The sequence below is a fragment of the Homo sapiens genome, chromosome 18 (genome assembly GCF_000001405.40).
Source record: "Homo sapiens chromosome 18, GRCh38.p14 Primary Assembly".
NCBI classification, from domain to species: Eukaryota; Metazoa; Chordata; class Mammalia; order Primates; family Hominidae; genus Homo; species Homo sapiens.
This window is the reverse complement of record NC_000018.10, coordinates 47,825,001-47,849,702: the sequence shown is the minus strand read 5'-3', so window position 1 is coordinate 47,849,702 and position 24,702 is coordinate 47,825,001. Positions and strand designations below refer to the sequence as shown.

Below are 24,702 nucleotides of genomic sequence, written 5' to 3'. Positions count from 1 at the left end.
AAATATTTGTATAGCATTTATATTATTAGGTATTATAAGTAATCTAGAGATTATTTAAAGTATACAGGATGACGTGAATTTAAGTTACATGGAAATACTACACCCTTTTATGTCAGGGACTTGAACATCTAAGGGTTTTTAGTTAGGGGGAGCCGGTCCTAGAACCAATCCCCTGTAAATGCCAAGGGATGACTATATATATATATATATATATACATACATTTCTGTATTACTATTATTATTTTTGCCCTCATTTTACCCTATTTCACAATTTCTCTTCGGTTGTTACATGTTTGGAATTTATTCTACAAAATTGTGAGGTTTTTTTCTTTTGCAGTATTCCTTATGATATGTTTTAGTCAAACTGCAGAAGCTAAATATATAGTTTTCCAGTGAAATAAGTAGTCTTTTGACTCTATGGTCTGTTTCTACTTGCATGATCTTTGTGTGTTACTGCTTTCTGGTTCTTATGTATGAGTGGGTTTTCTCTTTTTGTAGCTAGGGTATCTCACCAAGAGTTTGATGTTAAAATAGACAAATGTCAAAAATATGTCATATTTTGTATCCTTTTATTATTACTGTTTTTCTTTGTGTGGCTTTTGACTCATTAATCTTTGCTCTGGCTTTATCTTACCCCACTTTAGCTTTTTTATGTGCTTTAGAAATGCACCAAGTATGGCAAGTTGACTGACTTTGCCTATGATTGTTTTGTATTTGAACAGGAGCTAGACTAAAACTACTGGTAAAACAAAGAATCCAACATAAAGTGATTTAATGACATGGGAGAAATTTGAAAAAATCTGGTATGATCTATGAAACTGGAGTTTTGTGTGAAAAATACTGAAAATCTGGTATCATCTGTGGAAACCGATACAGATACTATGTCTACTTCCTGAGCTTTTGCCAGTGCAGGCTGGCATAGAGCATGTAAAGATGATTATATTAAATCTATTTTTGGCTTGAATTGTTCACGCATTTCTTCCTTTTATTATTTTTTTATTTTTTTCTTTTTCAGATTTACAGCCAGTTACTTACTCAGAACCTGCATTTTGGTGTTCGATAGCATATTATGAATTAAATCAGAGGGTTGGAGAAACCTTCCATGCATCACAGCCCTCACTCACTGTAGATGGCTTTACAGACCCATCAAATTCAGAGAGGTTCTGCTTAGGTTTACTCTCCAATGTTAACCGAAATGCCACGGTAGAAATGACAAGAAGGCATATAGGTATGTTTTATTTTCCTTGTTGTGAAAAATAAATGCTGTATACTCATAATGTAGGCATTGCATGGTGTGCCACATCAAGAGCTTGTGTGCAGTAAAACCAGCTTTCTCTCTGGTGGTTTAAGTGCCGACACATTTAAGTGCACAGGCTTCACTGCTTCTAATAGATCCTGGTGATGCTTCAGCTGCAAACTCTTCAACTTTTATTTGGCACCCTTGGTACTGGAAAGTTCTTCAATAAATATGTGTTAAGATAAGTTTAATTTGCTGAGTCTCTACCAGTCATAAAATTGCCATGTTCAGATTTGGGGGTTAATACTTTTTTATAAATCATGTTTTTTTGTTTTGTTTTGTTTTTGTTTTTTTTCAGTTTCTTTATATAGCTCCCAGGTTTTTTCCCCCTTTGGTGAGTTTATATATTAAATGAAATCTGCTTGCTGTTCATCTGAAATGAGATATCTAAAACAAGAACTGCATTTAATATAGTTCAAAATATAATTCAGGGACATCTCAAAATGTGGTCTGGGGACTTCTGGTAGTCCCAGAAACCCTTTCAGCTAGTTTGTGAGGTCAAAGCTATTTTCATAGTAGTACTGAGATGCTGTTTGCCATTTCTACTCTCATACTCTCATGACTGTACAGTGGAGTATTCCAGAGCCTACATGCATATGATTTTGCAAGAGATGAAATGTAGATTTGATAATGAGACTCCAATTCTGTTACACTAGACATGAATGTTGAAATGTTGCCACTCTATTTTTTTTTTTTTTTTTTTTTGCTTTGGAAATATAGTTGTTTTTCATAGACAAAAATGGTGAAATGTTGCCACTCTATTTTTTTTTTTTTTGCTTTGGAAATACAGTTGTTTTTTATAAACATTGTTAATATGTAATGGATTTGATTTTTAAATGAATTTTTTAAATCTCAGTTTTTATATCTAATATGGTCATTTTCCATAATATTCACATAAACAAAAGCTCTTTGGGGTCCTCAGTATTTCCTTAACGATGAAGTGAAAAAGTGTGAGAACCATTCATAATTGAACATCATTCTCATCACCTTAAAGTAACTTCTTTTAACAGTAGTTTGCTTCTGTTTTTTTTCTAATTAACCATTACCTCCTGTGAGAAGTAATGCTGGTTATCAAAGTGTGATTTTGATACTGCAAAATGATAGTGACTAGAAGATCTATTACTTGGTTCCAAGTGGAAGTTCTCAAATCTTGCTTGATGTATAAATTTGGATAATCTTATTAAGATACCCAGTGTCGCTGTAGGTGCTTTAACTAAAATAGTTTTTTGTTTTTGTGACTTAATTGGGGTTCTGCAAAAAAATTTAATGGGTTTTCTCTGCCTTATTCTCTTCTCCCTCCAAAGTTTTAGATTGCTGTCGTTATTGGATTTTTTTAAATTTTTTATTTCTAGTTTTATAGGTGATATTGATCAGGGAATATAGCCTGAAAAATCTCTACTTTTTGGACTTAGTGTTTTCCCAATGACCACGTGCATGACTGTTTTACAGATATTCCATAGTCTTAACAGAACCACCGTACCAGGTTCTGTATTAAATCTGGAGTGTTAGTTGTTTGATTAGTTTTCTTTTGCTGTGTAACAAATTACCACAAACTCAGTGGCCTAAAACATCAGTTTTTTACCTCACGGTTTCTGTGGGTCAGGAGTCCAGACATGGGTTAGGCGGTCTTTTCAGGGTTTAACAAGGCCAAAATTGAGGTATCAGCTGGCTTGTGTTCTTATCTGGAGCTTGAGGTCCTCTTCTAAACCCACATGGTTGTGGCAGAATTCAGCTCCTAGATGCCTCCTGAATTCCTTGTCACATGGTGCCATCCATCTTCAAAGTCAGCAATGGAGAATGTCTCTTGTGTTGAATACCTTTCATGCTTTGAATCACTTAGCCTATGACAGTCTAGTCCCTTTTAAAGGATTGCCTGATTAAGGTTAACTGATTTGCTGCCTTAATTACATCTGAAAAAATCCTTAACAGCAGCACCTAGTGTTTGATTAACAGAGAATGTATGTGCACCTCAGGGCTGAGACTCTTAGGTGTCATGTTAGAACTCTGCTTCTCACAATTTTTTTTTTAATTCTTATATCTCATATTATTTTGCATCTGTGATCTCTCAGATTCTGAAAGAAGTATATTAAAAATCTCCCAGTAGAATTTTTTCTCACCTAATCATGCTTATACATCTAGAGGTTGGGTTTCCACCATAATATATAGTTTTTAAAATGGCAAATGACTTTTTGATGTTTTTACATCTTTTTTCTTAACATTAAGTGGGATCTCTAAGAAACTACAGTTGTAATGAAGATATATTTCTCCAAACATTAGTGAATTCCTTCAAAATTAACTCAATCTTTTACTTATCTTAATATATATCATTTGTATGAAACTATTTTACTATGTGTACTTTTTCTACATTGTTTAAATACTTTCAGTCAGTACACATGTATTTTAAAATCAATAAAATTATTGTTAGAAAATACTTGGGAGAAATATACAGTAGTATATTTAAAGTTAGACTTCAGAAAGACATTATCTGTGAAAAAGATCCTGGAAATACCTTATATCATTTTAGAATTTTTCCAAGAAAATGCTTCCAAAGTCACACTGAAATAGTAAATGTTACAAAACTAATCTCATTTGTATTTTGTTTCAGGAAGAGGAGTGCGCTTATACTACATAGGTGGGGAAGTTTTTGCTGAGTGCCTAAGTGATAGTGCAATCTTTGTGCAGAGCCCCAATTGTAATCAGAGATATGGCTGGCACCCTGCAACAGTGTGTAAAATTCCACCAGGTATGGATTCAATAATGTACATAAACCTATCATGTCAACTTGCTTAGTTTTTCTTGTTGCTAATTTTAGGAATCAGTAGATGATTGCATGCTCATATTCTAAAACTTGTAACCCTTTTAAAATTACTTTTTAATAATGATACTCTTTTGACAATTTCTTTTACCTTTTTTAATCATAGGCTGTAATCTGAAGATCTTCAACAACCAGGAATTTGCTGCTCTTCTGGCTCAGTCTGTTAATCAGGGTTTTGAAGCCGTCTATCAGCTAACTAGAATGTGCACCATAAGAATGAGTTTTGTGAAAGGGTGGGGAGCAGAATACCGGTATGAAATACATATTTGGTTCTTAAATTTCCACAGTGTAATTATGTTTCATTGCATTCTTGCATATTCTGGAGTTCATTTGTATCTATTTTCAATGAGGTTATAGAGTCAGCTGATCTTTATGTAAAATAAAGTTGGAGGCCTCCAAATTCAAAACTGTTGCAAATTACTGAGCTGCCATTATGGAAGATATTAAAACATGCACAGGCGTGCATTTTAACGTAATTCAGAGTGTTAAATATCATAAAAGGGGTGTATATGAAGGGTTATGTCAGTTTATGGAAGGAGAGATGTTTGCACACGGTGCTCAAGGAAAACTTGATGGCACATGATCTAGTTGTAAAAGGTGCATTGGATTTCAATAGTCATAAATGGGGTGGGCAGAGTTGGGAAGTGATAATCTTGACAATAGCATAGCAATTCAGTTTGGAGAATAGAAAAATAAGGCTGGACAATTAAATTGAGACAAACTAGATGTAGGTTAAGAGGAGGAACTTCATTCAGAAGTAGAAGGAATACTTGCTAATGTGCCAGGCACTGTGCTGTTTTAAGTGTAGTATCTAAAAATTATTATTTCTGTTGTCAATTCATTCTTTGTAAGGTTGAAATATATGAAATTGCCATCGTTGCAGGTAACACATGGTTCAAACTAATACATATTTGGAAATAGACATAGAAAGCTGATAATTTGCCCAAGGTTACATTATAAGTGGTTGAGATGGGACTGGAAGATAGTTCTCCTGGACTCTTTACCTCTTTTATAAGGATAGTAGTAACAATTATGTTTAAGTTTTACAAAAACTAATTTGTCATCAGTGGATAAGATAGTCTAGATTATTGATGAATTAAACAATAGATTGGATTTCACATCAAAGAGAGAGAAGACTTCTTGACCATATTTAAGAGTAGGAATTAAGTAAAATACTTAGTCTTTCTTCAATTCGTATTGCTTACTCCATATGCCTGCTTAAGAAATATTCATGTAATATAGTGATTGTATTCCTGCTTCTTCCAGCAATTTAGTCCCTTCCAAATTTATTTGTTTTGGACTTGCTTGTCTATCTTAAGTTTTGTCAGAAATCTGATTTGAGATTGTGCAATGTGAGGTCTACTTGTTGAATACATTTAAAAATATATGGTATATATTTGTATCAGAGAATGAAGACTTGTCACTATTTTTTTCTGAGTTATATTGGTAGAATAATTCATTTTGTGATTTTGCTGTAGTTCTGTTTTGATTATTACCCTTTTGAGATGTTGTTACCTGTTAAGAATGCTGAATGCCGTTTTTTAAAATTAGACTTGACCTGAGTTGATAGCAAAATTAGATTTAAATTATATTGTCTAATAAGATTTCAGGTCAGACTTTTTTTTGTTCTTCAGAAGGTTAGAATAATGCAAAATATGGTAGGAATTTAGTGGAAGTAAGAGTGAATTACAGAGAGAATTCCATGTGTATCTATAGATCTGCTAAGAACAGTTTTACTTGGTAAAGATACTGCCCTTCTTCATTCACTGTGGACTCTGCTGTTCTTTAACTCACAGATAAAGTAAAATCTGTAATTACAGAAGCAGTAATATGCAGTATGTTTTTATGAGTATTGGGAGTCAGGTACATCTGACTTTGGAAAATCAAGTAGTTTCCTGTAACATTTACAAATCAAAATGGCAAATATCCATCTATCTGTGGATATGTGGGTAGCTACCAGGAACTTACTGTCTGTAATCATTCTGGAGCTGAGGAAATAGACCTAATGTTTAGGTTTCTAAAACTATTTTTTTTAAATTTCCTTAATGTCATCTTGGTTGTTAGCACAAAAATGAGGAAATGTAGTAAACAGGAAATTTAGATGTATGAAGAATTTGTATTTAATCGAGTGGCAGCCTTCTTAAACCTACTCCCCTTGGGTGACCTGGATTATGGATTATTCTAGAAAGGGAAGTGGGACAGGGGAGAACAGGGCAGCCAGGACCATTGTTAAGCCATCTACCAGAGTGGGTGGGTCACTAGAACTGACACCCTTGGGGAAACTCTAGGAAACAGTAAACAGTCTACAGAATTATCCTACCCAGGGGAACAGAAGTGCTGGGCATGTAAATGTCAATTTCTGTTTCCTTGGTTGAGGGCTGCTCCTGGGGATGCTTCTTTCCTGGCACCTCTAGCCTTTTTGGGTATATCAGAGAAGTTCCTGGGCACAGAAATGCAGATACCTGCAGTTGGAAGTTGTCTAGAGCACACTGAAAAATCCAAAGGGTACAGTGGGGCACTGATACCATCTGCCTCAGAAAGTGACATCCTTGGAAGTACAGTTTTAAATTACATTGAACATGTGTTGCTTGGAGATGAAGAGTTGATAATGGGCTTTTCTCATATTTGAAGGGCTGTTAGTTTGTAGAAGCAAGTGGATTTATTGACTTTATTCTGTATAGCAAATAAGATGGAACTAAAATCAGCGCATGGAAGTGACAGGATGTCATTGAATAATTTGTAATTCTCTTAGAGTTGCCCCTTTTGTTGAAGCACTATTAAAAGCCCGAATGGTGTTGCTAAGAGGGATGTTCATTGGCTTTGGCAGGGAAAGTTGAATTCCAGCTTTTAACACTCTCTGTGGTGTGGGTTTAGCTTGGGCCAAAATTTTGTTTTTGCTTTGGTATACTTTTACTTAGATTCTGTTTGATATTTGAGTATCTACTATTCTGTGGTTGATTTGGTAAGTACAGTTACTTTATGTCTTGGTTTGCTTGGACAATCCTGATTCACGTGTCTCCTTTTGGCCTGATTTTTTTCTGCCCCCCACCCCGAGACAGAGTCTCACTCTGTCGCCAGGCTAGAGTGCAGTGGCATGATCTCGGCTCACTGCAGCCTCTGCCTCTTGGGTTCAAGTGACTCTCCTGTCTCAGCCTCCCGAGTAGCTGGGACTACAGGCACACGCCACCACGCCCAGCTAATTTTTATATTTTTAGTAGAGACGGGGTTTCACCATGTTGGCCAGGATGGTCTCAATCTCTTGACCTTGTGATCCGCCTGCCTCGGCCTCCCAAAGTGCTGGGCTTACAGGTGTGAGCCACCACGCCTGGCCCTGGCCTGATATTAATAGTATCTACATTCTCTCTCAGGTGTTCCATTTTGGATGATGGTGAATAATAAGATCACCTTATTAATTTTAGTGCGATGAGAAAAAGATGTTCTTGTAAATCACTTCTAAAACAAGGTCATCAGAAGTACTTTGACTTTGAGGATCAACCATTTTGCGGAATAATCGTGTCCAAAATTATATACACAACCTTTTAATTTCTGTAAATTTTTAATGCAGTGTACCTAAACATAGCCATTTTCCCTGCCTGTGGACTTGAATTTCATAATCATTTTCCTGTATTCTTTTAAACAGAAGGCAGACGGTAACAAGTACTCCTTGCTGGATTGAACTTCATCTGAATGGACCTCTACAGTGGTTGGACAAAGTATTAACTCAGATGGGATCCCCTTCAGTGCGTTGCTCAAGCATGTCATAAAGCTTCACCAATCAAGTCCCATGAAAAGACTTAATGTAACAACTCTTCTGTCATAGCATTGTGTGTGGTCCCTATGGACTGTTTACTATCCAAAAGTTCAAGAGAGAAAACAGCACTTGAGGTCTCATCAATTAAAGCACCTTGTGGAATCTGTTTCCTATATTTGAATATTAGATGGGAAAATTAGTGTCTAGAAATACTCTCCCATTAAAGAGGAAGAGAAGATTTTAAAGACTTAATGATGTCTTATTGGGCATAAAACTGAGTGTCCCAAAGGTTTATTAATAACAGTAGTAGTTATGTGTACAGGTAATGTATCATGATCCAGTATCACAGTATTGTGCTGTTTATATACATTTTTAGTTTGCATAGATGAGGTGTGTGTGTGCGCTGCTTCTTGATCTAGGCAAACCTTTATAAAGTTGCAGTACCTAATCTGTTATTCCCACTTCTCTGTTATTTTTGTGTGTCTTTTTTAATATATAATATATATCAAGATTTTCAAATTATTTAGAAGCAGATTTTCCTGTAGAAAAACTAATTTTTCTGCCTTTTACCAAAAATAAACTCTTGGGGGAAGAAAAGTGGATTAACTTTTGAAATCCTTGACCTTAATGTGTTCAGTGGGGCTTAAACAGTCATTCTTTTTGTGGTTTTTTGTTTTTTTTTGTTTTTTTTTTTAACTGCTAAATCTTATTATAAGGAAACCATACTGAAAACCTTTCCAAGCCTCTTTTTTCCATTCCCATTTTTGTCCTCATAATCAAAACAGCATAACATGACATCATCACCAGTAATAGTTGCATTGATACTGCTGGCACCAGTTAATTCTGGGATACAGTAAGAATTCATATGGAGAAAGTCCCTTTGTCTTATGCCCAAATTTCAACAGGAATAATTGGCTTGTATAATCTAGCAGTCTGTTGATTTATCCTTCCACCTCATAAAAAATGCATAGGTGGCAGTATAATTATTTTCAGGGATATGCTAGAATTACTTCCACATATTTATCCCTTTTTAAAAAAGCTAATCTATAAATACCGTTTTTCCAAAGGTATTTTACAATATTTCAACAGCAGACCTTCTGCTCTTCGAGTAGTTTGATTTGGTTTAGTAACCAGATTGCATTATGAAATGGGCCTTTTGTAAATGTAATTGTTTCTGCAAAATACCTAGAAAAGTGATGCTGAGGTAGGATCAGCAGATATGGGCCATCTGTTTTTAAAGTATGTTGTATTCAGTTTATAAATTGATTGTTATTCTACACATAATTATGAATTCAGAATTTTAAAAATTGGGGGAAAAGCCATTTATTTAGCAAGTTTTTTAGCTTATAAGTTACCTGCAGTCTGAGCTGTTCTTAACTGATCCTGGTTTTGTGATTGACAATATTTCATGCTCTGTAGTGAGAGGAGATTTCCGAAACTCTGTTGCTAGTTCATTCTGCAGCAAATAATTATTATGTCTGATGTTGACTCATTGCAGTTTAAACATTTCTTCTTGTTTGCATCTTAGTAGAAATGGAAAATAACCACTCCTGGTCGTCTTTTCATAAATTTTCATATTTTTGAAGCTGTCTTTGGTACTTGTTCTTTGAAATCATATCCACCTGTCTCTATAGGTATCATTTTCAATACTTTCAACATTTGGTGGTTTTCTATTGGGTACTCCCCATTTTCCTATATTTGTGTGTATATGTATGTGTTCATGTAAATTTGGTATAGTAATTTTTTATTCATTCAACAAATATTTATTGTTCACCTGTTTGTACCAGGAACTTTTCTTAGTCTTTGGGTAAAGGTGAACAAGACAACTACAGTTCCTGCCTTTGCTGAGACAGCAGTTACACTAACCCTTAATTATCTTACTTGTCTATGAAGGAGATAAACAGGGTACTGTACTGGAGAATAACAGATGGGATGCTTCAGGTAGGACATCAAGGAAAGCCTCTAAGGAAAGGATGCATGAGCTAACACCTGACATTAAAGAAGCAAGCCAAGTGAGGAGCCAGGGGAGATAAGCATTCCTGGCAAAGAGAATAGCATCAAATGCAAAAAGGTTCACACTAAAGGAAACTCCTGATTAGGTATTAATGCTTTATACAGAAACCTCTATACAAATCCAAACTTGAAGATCAGAATGGTTCTACAGTTCATAACATTTTGAAGGTGGCCTTATTTTGTGATAGTCTGCTTCATGTGATTCTCACTAACATATCTCCTTCCTCAACCTTTGCTGTAAAAATTTCATTTGCACCACATCAGTACTACTTAATTTAACAAGCTTTTGTTGTGTAAGCTCTCACTGTTTTAGTGCCCTGCTGCTTGCTTCCAGACTTTGTGCTGTCCAGTAATTATGTCTTCCACTACCCATCTTGTGAGCAGAGTAAATGTCCTAGGTAATACCACTATCAGGCCTGTAGGAGATACTCAGTGGAGCCTCTGCCCTTCTTTTTCTTACTTGAGAACTTGTAATGGTGTTAGGGAACAGTTGTAGGGGCAGAAAACAACTCTGAAAGTGGTAGAAGGTCCTGATCTTGGTGGTTACTCTTGCATTACTGTGTTAGGTCAAGCAGTGCCTACTATGCTGTTTCAGTAGTGGAGCGCATCTCTACAGTTCTGATGCGATTTTTCTGTACAGTATGAAATTGGGACTCAACTCTTTGAAAACACCTATTGAGCAGTTATACCTGTTGAGCAGTTTACTTCCTGGTTGTAATTACATTTGTGTGAATGTGTTTGATGCTTTTTAACGAGATGATGTTTTTTGTATTTTATCTACTGTGGCCTGATTTTTTTTTTGTTTTCTGCCCCTCCCCCCATTTATAGGTGTGGTTTTCATTTTTCTAAGTGATAGAATCCCCTCTTTGTTGAATTTTTGTCTTTATTTAAATTAGCAACATTACTTAGGATTTATTCTTCACAATACTGTTAATTTTCTAGGAATGATGACCTGAGAACCGAATGGCCATGCTTTCTATCACATTTCTAAGATGAGTAATATTTTTTCCAGTAGGTTCCACAGAGACACCTTGGGGGCTGGCTTAGGGGAGGCTGTTGGAGTTCTCACTGACTTAGTGGCATATTTATTCTGTACTGAAGAACTGCATGGGGTTTCTTTTGGAAAGAGTTTCATTGCTTTAAAAAGAAGCTCAGAAAGTCTTTATAACCACTGGTCAACGATTAGAAAAATATAACTGGATTTAGGCCTACCTTCTGGAATACCGCTGATTGTGCTCTTTTTATCCTACTTTAAAGAAGCTTTCATGATTAGATTTGAGCTATATCAGTTATACCGATTATACCTTATAATACACATTCAGTTAGTAAACATTTATTGATGCCTGTTGTTTGCCCAGCCACTGTGATGGATATTGAATAATAAAAAGATGACTAGGACGGGGCCCTGACCCTTGAGCTGTGCTTGGTCTTGTAGAGGTTGTGTTTTTTTTCCTCAGGACCTGTCACTTTGGCAGAAGGAAATCTGCCTAATTTTTCTTGAAAGCTAAATTTTCTTTGTAAGTTTTTACAAATTGTTTAATACCTAGTTGTATTTTTTACCTTAAGCCACATTGAGTTTTGCTTGATTTGTCTGTCTTTTAAACACTGTCAAATGCTTTCCCTTTTGTTAAAATTATTTTAATTTCACTTTTTTTGTGCCCTTGTCAATTTAAGACTAAGACTTTGAAGGTAAAACAAACAAACAAACATCAGTCTTAGTCTCTTGCTAGTTGAAATCAAATAAAAGAAAATATATACCCAGTTGGTTTCTCTACCTCTTAAAAGCTTCCCATATATACCTTTAAGATCCTTCTCTTTTTTCTTTAACTACTAAATAGGTTCAGCATTTATTCAGTGTTAGATACCCTCTTCGTCTGAGGGTGGCGTAGGTTTATGTTGGGATATAAAGTAACACAAGACAATCTTCACTGTACATAAAATATGTCTTCATGTACAGTCTTTACTTTAAAAGCTGAACATTCCAATTTGCGCCTTCCCTCCCAAGCCCCTGCCCACCAAGTATCTCTTTAGATATCTAGTCTGTGGACATGAACAATGAATACTTTTTTCTTACTCTGATCGAAGGCATTGATACTTAGACATATCAAACATTTCTTCCTTTCATATGCTTTACTTTGCTAAATCTATTATATTCATTGCCTGAATTTTATTCTTCCTTTCTACCTGACAACACACATCCAGGTGGTACTTGCTGGTTATCCTCTTTCTTGTTAGCCTTGTTTTTTGTTTTTTTTTTTTTTTTTTGAGAGGGAGTCTCGCTCTGTTGCCCAACCTGGAGTGCAGTGGTGCGATCTTGGTTCACTGCAAGCTCCGCCTCCCGGGTTCACGCCATGCTTCTGCCTCAGCCTCCCAAGTAGCTGGGACTACAGGCGCCCACCACCACACTCGGCTAATTTTTTGTATTTTTAGTAGAGACGGGGTTTCACCGTGTTGGCCAGGATGGTCTCGATCTCCTGACCTCGTGATCTGTCCACCTCGGCTTCCCAAAGTGCTGGGATTACAGGCATGAGCCACCGCGCCCAGCCTAGCCATATTTTTATCTGCATATATCAGAATGTTTCTCTCCTTTGAACTTATTAACAAAAAAGGAACATGCTTTTCATACCTAGAGTCCTAATTTCTTCATCATGAAGGTTGCTATTCAAATTGATCAATCATTTTAATTTTACAAATGGCTCAAAAATTCTGTTCAGTAAATGTCTTTGTGACTGGCAAATGGCATAAATTATGTTTAAGATTATGAACTTTTCTGACAGTTGCAGCCAATGTTTTCCCTACGATACCAGATTTCCATCTTGGGGCATATTGGATTGTTGTATTTAAGACAGTCAGAATAATGATAGTGTGTGGTCTCCAGAGGTAGTCAGAATCCTGCTATTGAGTTCTTTTTATATCTTCCTTTTCAATTTTTTATTACCATTTTGTTTGTTTAGACTACACTTTGTAGGGATTGAGGGGCAAATTATCTCTTGGAGTGGAATTCCTGTGTTTTGAGCCTTACAACCAGGAAATATGAGCTATACTAGATAGCCTCATGATAGCATTTACGATAAGAACTTATCTCGTGTGTTCATGTAATTTTTTGAGTAGGAACTGTTTTATCTTGAATATTGTAGCTAACTATATATAGCAGAACTGCCTCAGTCTTTTTAAGAAGGAAATAAATAATATATGTGTATGAATTTATATATACATATACACTCATAGACAAACTTAACAGTTGGGGTCATTCTAACAGTTAAAACAATTGTTCCATTGTTTAAATCTCAGATCCTGGTAAAATGTTCTTAATTTGTCTGTGTACATTTTCCTTTCATGGACAGACCATTGGAGTACATTAATTTTCTTAATCTGCCATTTGGCAGTTCATTTAATATACCATTTTTTGGCAACTTGGTAACTAAGAATCACAGCCAAAATTTGTTAACATCAAAGAAAGCTCTGCCATATACCCCGTTACTAAATTATTATACATCCAGCAGATTCTGGGATGTACTAACTTAGGGTTAACTTTGTTGTTGTTGATAATACTAGATTGCTCCCTCTTTAATTCTTCTTCTGGTGCAAGGTTGCTGCTTAAGTTACCCTGGGAAATACTACTACAAGGTCAAATTTTCTAGTATCTTACAGCCTGATTGAAGGTGATTCAGATCTTTGCTCAATATAAATGGATTTTCCAAGATTCTCTGGGCCATCCTTGACCCACAGGTGATCTCGCTGGAGTATATTAACTTAACTTCAGTGCCAGTTGGTTTGGTGCCATGAGATCCATAATGAATCCAGAACTTCACCATTGCTTAGATATAAGAGTCCCTTGGAAGAATAATGCCACTGATGATGGGGGTCAGAAGGTGTATTAACTCAACATAGAGGGCTTTTAGATTTTTCTTCAAAAAAATTTCGAGAAAAGTATTCTTTTACCCTCCAAACAGTTAACAGCTCTTAGTTTCTCCAAATATGCTCTTTGATTTACTTATTTTTAATTAAAGATGGTAATTTATTGAACAATGAAATCCGTAATATATTGATTTAAGGACAAAAGTGAAGTTTTAGAATTATAAAAGTACTTAAATATTATATATTTTCCATTTCATAATTGTTTTCCTTTCTCTGTGGCTTTAAAGTTTTTGACTATTTTACAATGTTAATCACTAGGTAACTTGCCATATTTCTGGTTCTATATTAAGTTCTATCCTTTATAATGCTGTTATTATAAAGCTGGTTTTTAGCATTTGTCTGTAGCAATAGAAATTTTACTAAGTCTCTGTTCTCCCAGTAAGTTTTTTCTTTTCTCAGTAAGTCCCTAAGAAAACATTTGTTTGCCACTCTTACTATTCCCAATCTTGGATTGTTCGAGCTGAAAAAAAATTTGATGAGAAACAGGAGGATCCTTTTCTGGTGAATATAGGTTCCTGCTTTAAGAATGTGGAAATCCATTGCTTTATATAACTAATATACACACAGATTAATTAAAATTGTGAGAAATAATTCACACATGACAAGTAGGTAACATGCATGAGTTTTGAATTTTTTTAAAAACCCAACTGTTTGACAAAATATAGAACCCAAATTGGTACTTTCTTAGACCAGTGTAACCTCACACCTCAGTTTTGCTTTTCCAACCCTGACTTGAAAGGCATATTTGTATCTTTTTATTAGTGATAGTGAAGCTGTGACACTAACCTTTTATACAAAAGAGTAAAGAAAGAAAAACTACAGCGATTAAGATGAGAACAGTTCTGCAGTTGTTGAACTAGATCACAGCATTGTAGGCAGAATAAAAAATGTTCATATCTGAGAATATTCCTTTCGCCATCTTTTCCCAAGGCCAGACCTCCTGGTGGAGCACAGTTAAAAGTAACATTCTGGGCCTTTGTAATCGGAGGGCTGTGTCTCCAGCTGGCAGCCTTTGTTTTAATATATAATGCAGGACTGTGGAAAACAGTTGGCATAGAATATTTTCACCTAAAAAAGAAAGAAAAGACATACAAAACTGGATTAATTGCAAAAAGAGAATACAGTAAAATACCATATAACTGGACAAAGCTAGAAGAACCTTTAGAAGATTTGTCTGAAAACAGATTTCAAGAGTGAGCTTTTATACACTGCTCACTAATTTGCTTGATTACTACCAACTCTTCTTAAAGTTAACACGTTTAAGGTATTTCTGGACTTCCTAGCCTTTTAGCAAGCTTAGAGGAACTAGCCATTAGCTAGTGATGTAAAAATATTTTGGGGACTGATGCCCTTAAAGGTTATGCCCTTGAAAGTTCTTACCTTTTCTCTAGTGATATTAAGGAACGAGTGGGTAGTGTTCTCAGGGTGACCAGCTGCCCTAAAGTGCCTGGGATTGAGGGTTTCCCTGGATGCGGGACTTTCCCTGGATACAAAACTTTTAGCAGAGTTTTGTATATATGTGGATTTTTCTGATAAGTAGCACATCAGAGGCCTTAACCACTGCCCAAAAGCGATTCTCCATTGAGAGTACATATCTTGAACTTAAGAAATTCATTTGCTCTGATTTTTAATCTTGTAAAGTTTTTGCTAAACTCAAAACAAGTCCCAGGCACACCAGAAGGAGCTGACCACCTTAGGTGTTCTTGTGATTTATCCTTACTTCCCTATGTTGTCATAGTTGCTTCTAAACTCAGCTGCACTATGGCTGTCAACATTTCTGATACTTATTGGGATATGTGCCATCCAGTCATTTAGTACTTTGAATGGAACATGAGATTTATAACACAGGTAATAGCTGAAGGTACCAGTATGGTGGTGAGACTCACACTTAGTGATCCAGCTAAGGTAACTGATGTTATAATGGAACAGAGAAGAGGCCAACTAGATAGCTAAGTTCTTCTGAACCTATGTGTATATGTAAGTACAAATCATGCGTCCTTATGGGGTTAAACTTAATCTGAAATTTACATTTTTCATAGTAAAAGGAAACCAATTGTTGCAGATTTCTTTTCTTGTGAGGAAATACATGGCCTTTGATGCTCTGGCGTCTACTGCATTTCCCAGTCTGTTCTGCTCGAGAAGCCAGAATGTGTTGTTAACATTTTTCCGTGAATGTTGTGTTAAAATGATTAAATGCATCAGCCAATGGCAAGTGAAGGAATTGGGTGTCCTGATGCAGACTGAGCAGTTTCTCTCAATTGTAGCCTCATACTCATAAGGTGCTTACCAGCTAGAACATTGAGCACGTGAGGTGAGATTTTTTTTCTCTGATGGCATTAACTTTGTAATGCAATATGATGGATGCAGACCCTGTTCTTGTTTCCCTCTGGAAGTCCTTAGTGGCTGCATCCTTGGTGCACTGTGATGGAGATATTAAATGTGTTCTTTGTGAGCTTTCGTTCTATGATTGTCAAAAGTACGATGTGGTTCCTTTTTTATTTTTATTAAACAATGAGCTGAGGCTTTATTACAGCTGGTTTTCAAGTTAAAATTGTTGAATACTGATGTCTTTCTCCCACCTACACCAAATATTTTAGTCTATTTAAAGTACAAAAAAAGTTCTGCTTAAGAAAACATTGCTTACATGTCCTGTGATTTCTGGTCAATTTTTATATATATTTGTGTGCATCATCTGTATGTGCTTTCACTTTTTACCTTGTTTGCTCTTACCTGTGTTAACAGCCCTGTCACCGTTGAAAGGTGGACAGTTTTCCTAGCATTAAAAGAAAGCCATTTGAGTTGTTTACCATGTTACTATGGGACTAATTTTTAATTGTTTTAATTTTTATTTAAACTGATCTTTTTTTATATGGGATTACATTTTGGTGTTCACTCCCTAAATTATATGGAAACCAAAAAAAGTGATTGTATTTCACATATGGACATATGATTTTAAGAGTACATGTTTTTGTTTTTTTAATTTGGTGTTACATAAAAGATTATCCTATCCCCCCGGGAGATAAATTTATACTACTTAATATAACCCCACAACAGGCGCACACCACACACTGCACAGTGCTATTTATACATTTTTATTTATTTCAGAGTTTGCCTATGCTACATTAGCGCTCTAATACATAAGATCTATGCTGTAAACAAAAACATCTTCAAAGTTGAAATTTGCTGAAATATACTTTTAACAAAATAACATTTTTAAGGCTCCATTGAAAAATACTAGATAAGATATAATCTCATATAATCAGTATGAATAATTTTAAAAATGAGAAATATTTAGGTCAGCCACACTTCCTTTGTGCCTTGCAAGAATTCAGTTCTGTGGATGAATCAGTACTGGTTAGCAGACTGTTTTCTGCAAACCATTTTAAACATGCTTTAGTATGCAACAAAAAGGGACCTCAAATGCTAAAATACACTATTTTACGTGGCATTGAATAGCCTTGGGACTGGTGTAGTTTTATCAACACTTTTTTATTAGGAAGAAACCCAAGAAAATTTACTGTAATTGCTACCACCTGCCACTGTATAAATAATCTAAAAGGGACTTCCCAACATTGAACAACAACATTGAGGGCTGACTCGAGATCCTTCTACATTGTCACCTCAGCCTGGCTTTGCCTGTCACTGCTTAGCTTGAAGTAGTGACACTGTTCTGTATCAGGAGATTTTTATAATGGCCCTAGCATCCATAATTCCACATGTTCATCAAATGGCTGAAGAGTATGAGAGAAGTATTAAGGTCTATGTTTGGGCTGTCTCCCCACTTGGCATATTCTGTTTTTCCCTCTTCAAAATAGATTGAAAGCCTCTTAGTGCAGGAAGCAGGCATCAGTATCAAACTGATGTCATCCAATGTAATTATTTTAAGCTCCAGGTTTGTCTAAGTTTGGGTGAAGAATGTTCAGGAACATGTTTGCAACATACAGTTATCCAGCTTACCCTTTGACAGATTCACCCTTCTCATCAAAATAGTAAGCCCAACCTAAAAATTATAAGTTTACAAATAAAGGAATAGAAAAACCCAAAAAGCTAATTTACACATAAAAATTATCTTTTGCTGCAATAAATAGGTATGGAAATATTTGTAGAATTGGTTTAACTGATTTTGTAAAACAAATGTCATGCTATTTTGCCATAGTGAGACATGCAGTAATTCTTAAAATCACATTAATAGAAGGCAAGAACATTGAATCAGACTTAGCAGATAACAGATTCAGTGATAAATGAACAATAGACTAAGCATACTTAGGAAGCTACATGAGAACAGAATGTATTACTGTGCTCCCGTCCAAACTGCATGACTTTATTGGTTATAGAATAAATGGAATTTGAGATGGGGATTTGCCAGTTTTTACAGTCTGTCTTCAATAGTTTTGTTGGCTGCCTCTGCACCTTTCTAAATGTTATGTGAAAATAAAATTATTTAAGTTCTAAAGTAGTTTAGGAAAGAGATGTGATGACAGGAAAAAGAAGTTAACTTCTGAACAGTTTGGTCCAGGAAGAAGATGGGCAGAATACAGTAAGCCCAGGGTTGAAGAATACATTCAATTTGGAGAGATGGAGAAGACCTTTGAAGAAGGTCAAAATGAGATCTTGGAACAGAACTCTCACCTGTGTGTCTGGATATACATGAAAACTGGACGGTGTTATTGAGCTACTGCTTATATGGTGAGCAGAAAATTGATAACCACAAGCCTGGTAGGTTCTGCTATGAAGCCCACATATAATCACAAGGCCTAGATAGCTTGGAGTTAAAAGCCAAGGATAGCTGTATAGTTTGGGTTCCATAGTTTGCAGTGAGATTGTGCTTCTGAGCAGTCATTTGGGGGCAGTGGTTCTGAGATTACAAGCCATAACCCAGCCAAGAACGGGCTACCTGTGGAATGAGGATGAGGAAGTTGCTACATATAAACCCTAGTGTGTGTGTGTGTATTAAGTGAAACTTAGTTAACTTTTTTGCTCACAGCCAAAGATGATTCATCTAGAGAAGCCATTGGAATTTTAGCAGAGTTTTGTATATATGTGGATTTTTCTAATAAGTAGCAAATCAGAGGCCTTAACCACTGCCCAACAGCGATTCTCCATTGAGAGTACGTATCTTGAACTTAAGAAATTCATTTGCTCTGATTTTAAATCTTGTAAAGTTTTTCTTCATGAGAGGTCTTGCCTCTAAACTATATTGTGGCAGTATTTGATCAAACTACATAAGTACCATGTAAATAAGATTTTAATACAAATGATGACTCACTTCTAAATGGTTTGCCATTTAGAAATGTGCTGCTGTGAGAAAAACGAATTTTTTTTTTTTTTTTTTGGAGACAGAGTCTTGCTCTGTTGCCCAGGCTGGGGTGCAGTGGGGCGATCTCGGCTCACTGCAGCCTCGCCTCCTGGGTTCAAGTGATTCTCCTGCCTTAGCCTCCTGAGTAGCTGGGATTACAGGCACACACCACCACGCCCAACTACTTTTTGTATTTTTAGTGGAGACAGGGTTTCACCATGTTTGCCAGGCTGGTCTTGAACTCCTGACCTCAGATGATTTGCCTGCCTCGGCCTCCCAAAGTGCTGGAATTACAGGCGTGAGCCATCATGCCTGGCTGAAAAGTGAAAATTTAAGCCAGCTTACCACCTGGAATAAAAATGTTTTATAGGAATGTCTAGGTTGCTCTTTTATATTGAAAAAAAACTTATTAGTGTCTGTTTTACCCAAGAACCACAAGCTACTTCATTTCAACTTTTAAATCATGAATAATAACGTGTTATCACCACATTTAAAAATGTACATCGTCAATCACAAACACATATTCTAAGGAATTGAATTTTATAGAGATAATTGAATGCTTTCATCTGTAAAAGAATTAGTGGCCTGCAAACCACTGTGGATTCTTGCTATGCTTTGAAGTTGTCAGTGGGGGAATTTGCTGCTGCAAGTTACTTAGACTTGTAGGCAAAGGGAAATTCAAATTTTTAATTCTAAAATGAAAACCACTGACAAAATTTTATACTCTGAAAGTTTGGTTGTTAGCTTAGTCATTATTTTCCTGTTCTTTATCATTTCGGAATTCAGATGCTTAAATTTAACATACAAATTATTTGTTGGTAAAACATAAAACATAAAAAGCTACATTTGGTAAACTAAATTTTAGGATTCAAAGTCTCTAACAATTTCTATGTGACATGTCATACGGTGCAGTTTTTATTTGCCAAAGTGTCTACTTCATACTGCCTATGCACTGCTTCCCGTTTTTAATCTCTCTACCCCAACCCCCCTATAATTAAATAAACCCCTAGAAAACTGCCTTCTTTTAGAATACCTAATTGATTACTTTAAATATTTTTTCAGAATCAAAATTACAAAAGGGAGAGATACCTAAGAATCTGGCTTGTTTATATTCTTTAAAAGATCGCATTTGATTGAAGGTGGGTGCATATTTTTTATATCCACTCTTTCCCCATTTGTATGTGACCATTGTAAAAGTGGATGTGCTTTTTTTTTTTTGCTGAGGTCTAGAGACAATGTTTTAGAGATACAGAATGAAACATTTATGGGTAAAATACAATGGGTAAGACTTGCTTCAAAATAGTATGTGACAGAGGAAGTAGATGGAGGTATGAATGAATAGGACATTGATGGTTGTTTGTTGGGATTGGGTAAGGGAGCTTTGTTGTATTCTATTTCCTTTTAGATAAGTTTGAAATTCCTTGTAGTGAAGAAATTAAACGTCTCCATCAGGTGCATTGCCACGTCTTCTCTAGGAAGCCTCCTTAACATCCTCTGGTGGCTCCTGAACTTTTTCTGTTCTCATTCACAGGGAAGCTCATGGGGCTGCCTGGAGACTTGAGGTTACATCTTGCCTAGTATTACCAAAATTGTGATACTTTTCTCCACCCCATAATAGCACAGTCTTTGGTCTCAACTTGAACTAAAGTCTTTTTTTTTTTTTTTTTTTTTTTTTTTAGTATTTATTGATCATTCTTGGGTGTTTCTCGGAGAGGGGGATGTGGCAGGGTCATAGGACAATAGTGGAGGGAAGGTCAGCAGATAAACATGTGAACAAGGGTCTCTGGTTTTCCTAGGCAGAGGACCCTGCGGCCTTCTGCAGTGTTTGTGTCCCTGGGTACTTGAGATTAAGGAGTGGTGATGACTCTTAACGAGCATGCTGCCTTCAAGCATCTGTTTAACAAAGCACATCTTGCACCGCCCTTAATCCATTTAACCCTGAGTGGACACAGCACATGTTTCAGAGAGCACGGGGTTGGGGGTAAGGTTATAGATTAACAGCATCCCAAGGCAGAAGAATTTTTCCTAGTACAGAACAAAATGGAGTCTCCTATGTCTACTTCTTTCTACACAGACACAGCAACAATCTGATCTCTCTTTCCTTTCCCCACATTTCCCCCTTTTCTATTCGACAAAACCGCCATCGTCATCATGGCCCGCTCTCAATGAGCTGTTGGGTACACCTCCCAGACAGGGTGGCGGCCGGGCAGAGGGGCTCCTCACTTCCCAGACGGGGCGGCTGGGCAGAGGCGCCCCCCCACCTCCCGGACGGGGTGGATGCTGGCCGGGGGCTGCCCCCCACCTCCCGAACGGGGCAGCTGGCCGGGCGGGGGTTGCCCCCCACCTCCCGGACGGGGCGGCTGGCCGAGCAGGGGCTGCCCCCCACCTCCCTCCCAGACGGGGCGGCTGCTGGGCGGAGACGCTCCTTACTTCCCGGACGGGGTGGTTGCTGGGCGGAGGGGCTCCTCACTTCTCAGACGGGGCGGCCGGGCAGAGACGCTCCTCACCTCCCAGACGGGGTGGCGGTCGGGCAGAGACACTCCTCACATCCCAGACGGGGCGGCGGGGCAGAGGCGCTCCCCACATCTCAGACGATGGGCGGCCGGGAAGAGGCGCTCCTCACTTCCCAGACTGGGCGGCCGGGCTGAGGGGCTCCTCACATCCCAGACGATGGGCAGCCAGGCAGAGATGCTCCTCACTTCCCAGACGGGGTGGCGGCCGGGCAGAGGCTGCAATCTCCGCACTTTGGGAGGCCAAGGCAGGCGGCTGGGAGGTGGAGGTTGTAGCGAGCCGAGATCGTGCCACTGCACTCCAGCCTGGGCAACATTGAGCACTGAGTGAGCGAGACTCCATCTGCAATCCCAGCACCTCGGGAGGCCCAGGCGGGCAGATCATGCGCGGTCAGGAGCTGGAGACCAGCCTGGCCAACACGGCGAAACCCCGTCTCCACCAAAAAATACAAAAACCAGTCAGGCGTGGCGGCGCGCGTCTGCAATCCCAGGCACTCGGCAGGCTGAGGCAGGAGAATCAGGCAGGGAGGTTGCAGTGAGCCGAGATGGCGGCAGTACAGTCCAGCCTTGGCTCGGCATCAGAGGGAGACGGTGGAAAGTGGGAGACCGTAGAAAGTGGGAGACGGGGGGAGACGGGAGAGGGAGAGGGATGTGCTTTTTTTCTAACCGTTATTGCCACCAAGTAATAATGTCTTAATTCACAATTTACATAGTGATTGGCTGGAGAGAGGTATTGAGCATAAATTTTTTTTTAAGATTCAACTGGGAAATGGATGATTTACATGATTTTAGTCTCTTTAGTTGTCTGGGTATTTCTTGACTGGGAATAGCAATATCTTAAAGGCCATTTTTAACAAGAATGCTAAGGATGGAACACTTGAAGGAAGCAGTCCTGTACAGTCAAATACTTCAGTTACCTTGGATAATAGAATGAAAACTCAATTGCCTACTTTGAACAAATTTTTTTTTTGGATTTTAATGGCTGGACAGAATAACATTCTGCTAATTTTAATCCTTGGTCATTTCCGATGTAATGGAAAATGCAGTTTGACTCAGAATCGGAGGCCTGGGGTTTGGACCCTGATTGTGCCAATTTATGTGACTTTAGATAAATCTTTTCATCAGTCTACCTTAAAGTTCTTCATTTCCTCCAGTTCCCTAAAATGAGGAAGTTAGTTTTTAGGGTGGTTATGAGAACTAAATGAGAGCACTTGAGAGATCATTCAGCCTGAAGTGGGTACTCAGTATTAGATGGCTAAATCTGCACAGTCTAGAATACCAGGCAAAGGTTACTCTGAAGGTCTTTGCTAATAACAAATCTTTCTCTAAGAAAGTTTGTAAATGTGATGTTAAACTCAGAAATGTCACATAGAACATATTGGAGCAATTATTGCCGCAAAAGTAACTCGTAGCAACCACAAAAACCCAGTGGTGTGCAGCAATAAACAGTTTATGAATTAGATAAGTGATTTCGGCTAGATGTCTCTGGAGCAGTTGTAGTCTTTCCTCGTTCATGAGGGAGTTGGCCTCACCTGGAAGGACTTGGCATTTTTCCACATGCCTCCTATCCTCCATTAAACAAGCATGTTTTTGTGGAGGTTGTAGAAGGCAACAACAGCCAAGCCCAATCCCATAACTCCCTTTCATGTCTGCATGCTTCATGCTAACTAGCATTCACCAGAAACAAGCCACATGGCTAAACCCAGTGTGGAAAGGCACTACAGAGTTATTAGACCAAGGGAGAGAACATAGGAGGGGTGAAGAATTGGAGCCTTAAATGCAGTCAATCTACCACACCCTTGCTTTGTATTTAACAGGTTACTGTACTGGTTTGCCAGCAAACAATGGAAAATGTGGAGAAGCTGAAGAATGCTCAAGCTGGGACTTAATAGAGTGGCCTATTTGGTTTGAAATGTTTTAACTTACAGAGCATTGAGTAGAAGCCTAATCTAATATACATAAGGAAGACAAAAGCAAAGGATTGTGTTTTCTATCTAAAGGTTAATCATTGTGGTTGCTCCTGGCCATTATCACATGACTGGAAGTTAACACTCTCCAAACGCTGAGCCTATCCTGTACAGCACTAGAAAGTAGAAAGAATCACTCAATTCAGGGAAACCGTTTTCTCTTAATGTGAACATTTACATTAATGCCATTTCCAAAACCTTTCTGGGACTTCTTAAATGCAAAGATGCTATCTGCTTTACTTCATGCTGCCTGTTTTTAGGAGCTTGGAGTGCTTTAGGAAGCTTCCCAATACTGGTTTAGCAGTAATTTGGTTGACTGATCAAGGCATGTTTTAACTTTGACACTGAAATTTTAAAAAGACAACAGTTATCTTGCCCGGAGAGTCAAGTTTCTGCTTCCAAGGAGGTCAGGAATTGTTCTCTTTGGTGATGTGGCTGTGCTTGGTAGCCCTTGAAAGTGGAGTCGACAGCAGTCCTCAGCTTTTGTGTGCCTGTCTTAGTCTGTTTTGTGTTACTATAACAGGATAGCTGAGGCAGGGTCACTTATGAAGGATGCTCACAGTTCTACAGGCTGGGAAGTTCAAGGGCATGGCCCTGGCTTTTGGCAAGGGCTTTGCTGCTGCTTCATAGCTTGATGGAGAAGGTCAGAGGGGAAGCAGACGTGCAAACAACCCACTTGTTCACAACAACCAAACAAGTCTCTTTTTAACAACCCACTCCTGGGGACTAATCTAGTCTTGAGAGAGTGAGAACTCATTGCAAGAGCAGCACCAAGCCATTCATGAAGCATCTGCCTCAGTGAACCAAACATCTCCCACTAGGCCCCAGCTCTCAACACCACCACAATGAAGATAAAATCTCATCATACATTTGAGGGACAGTTTGGGAGACAGACCATAGCAGTGCTCAGTATTTCTACCCAAATGTTCAGGTAACTTAATATATTTTTCCTTGAATATATGTTTAAATGGGCTTCCCTTCCCCACGCTCATCTTGAATGGTCCCACAACAACTTTTGATTATCACGTTCCTGTAAATACACAAAAATATTTTGTGGTCTTTTACTGGCAGCCCAGTGGATGGGACTTTAAAAAATCACCCAGATTCCAACAACCAGAGAAAACGACTGGTGTAT

At 37.8% G+C, this 24,702-nt stretch overlaps 1 protein-coding gene across 3 annotated transcripts in view, besides 1 other annotated feature; it reads left to right on the top strand.

Annotated features, from left to right (window-relative positions):
* The window catches only part of SMAD2 (SMAD family member 2), a 121,916-nt gene that overhangs the window by 81,170 nt on the left and 16,044 nt on the right, over window positions 1-24,702 (top strand). For all 3 annotated transcript variants that reach the window (NM_001135937.3, NM_001003652.4, NM_005901.6), the window contains 4 exons: window positions 1,016-1,228; window positions 3,903-4,040; window positions 4,219-4,363; window positions 7,753-24,702. The exon at window positions 7,753-24,702 is cut by the window's right edge and continues 16,044 nt beyond it. In NM_001135937.3, coding sequence (NP_001129409.1) covers window positions 1,016-1,228; window positions 3,903-4,040; window positions 4,219-4,363; window positions 7,753-7,876 — 620 coding nt within the window. In that variant the 3' untranslated portion in view covers window positions 7,877-24,702. The remainder of the gene's footprint in view (window positions 1-1,015; window positions 1,229-3,902; window positions 4,041-4,218; window positions 4,364-7,752) is intronic.
* Window positions 21,336-21,981: an enhancer, noted in NCBI's record as "H3K27ac hESC enhancer chr18:45354093-45354738 (GRCh37/hg19 assembly coordinates)". NCBI's record gives its function as "activates a minimal SCP1, AML or CMV promoter by ChIP-STARR-seq in primed H9 embryonic stem cells {active_cell/tissue: H9 hESC(primed)}" and the evidence as "EXISTENCE:reporter gene assay evidence [ECO:0000049][PMID:30033119]".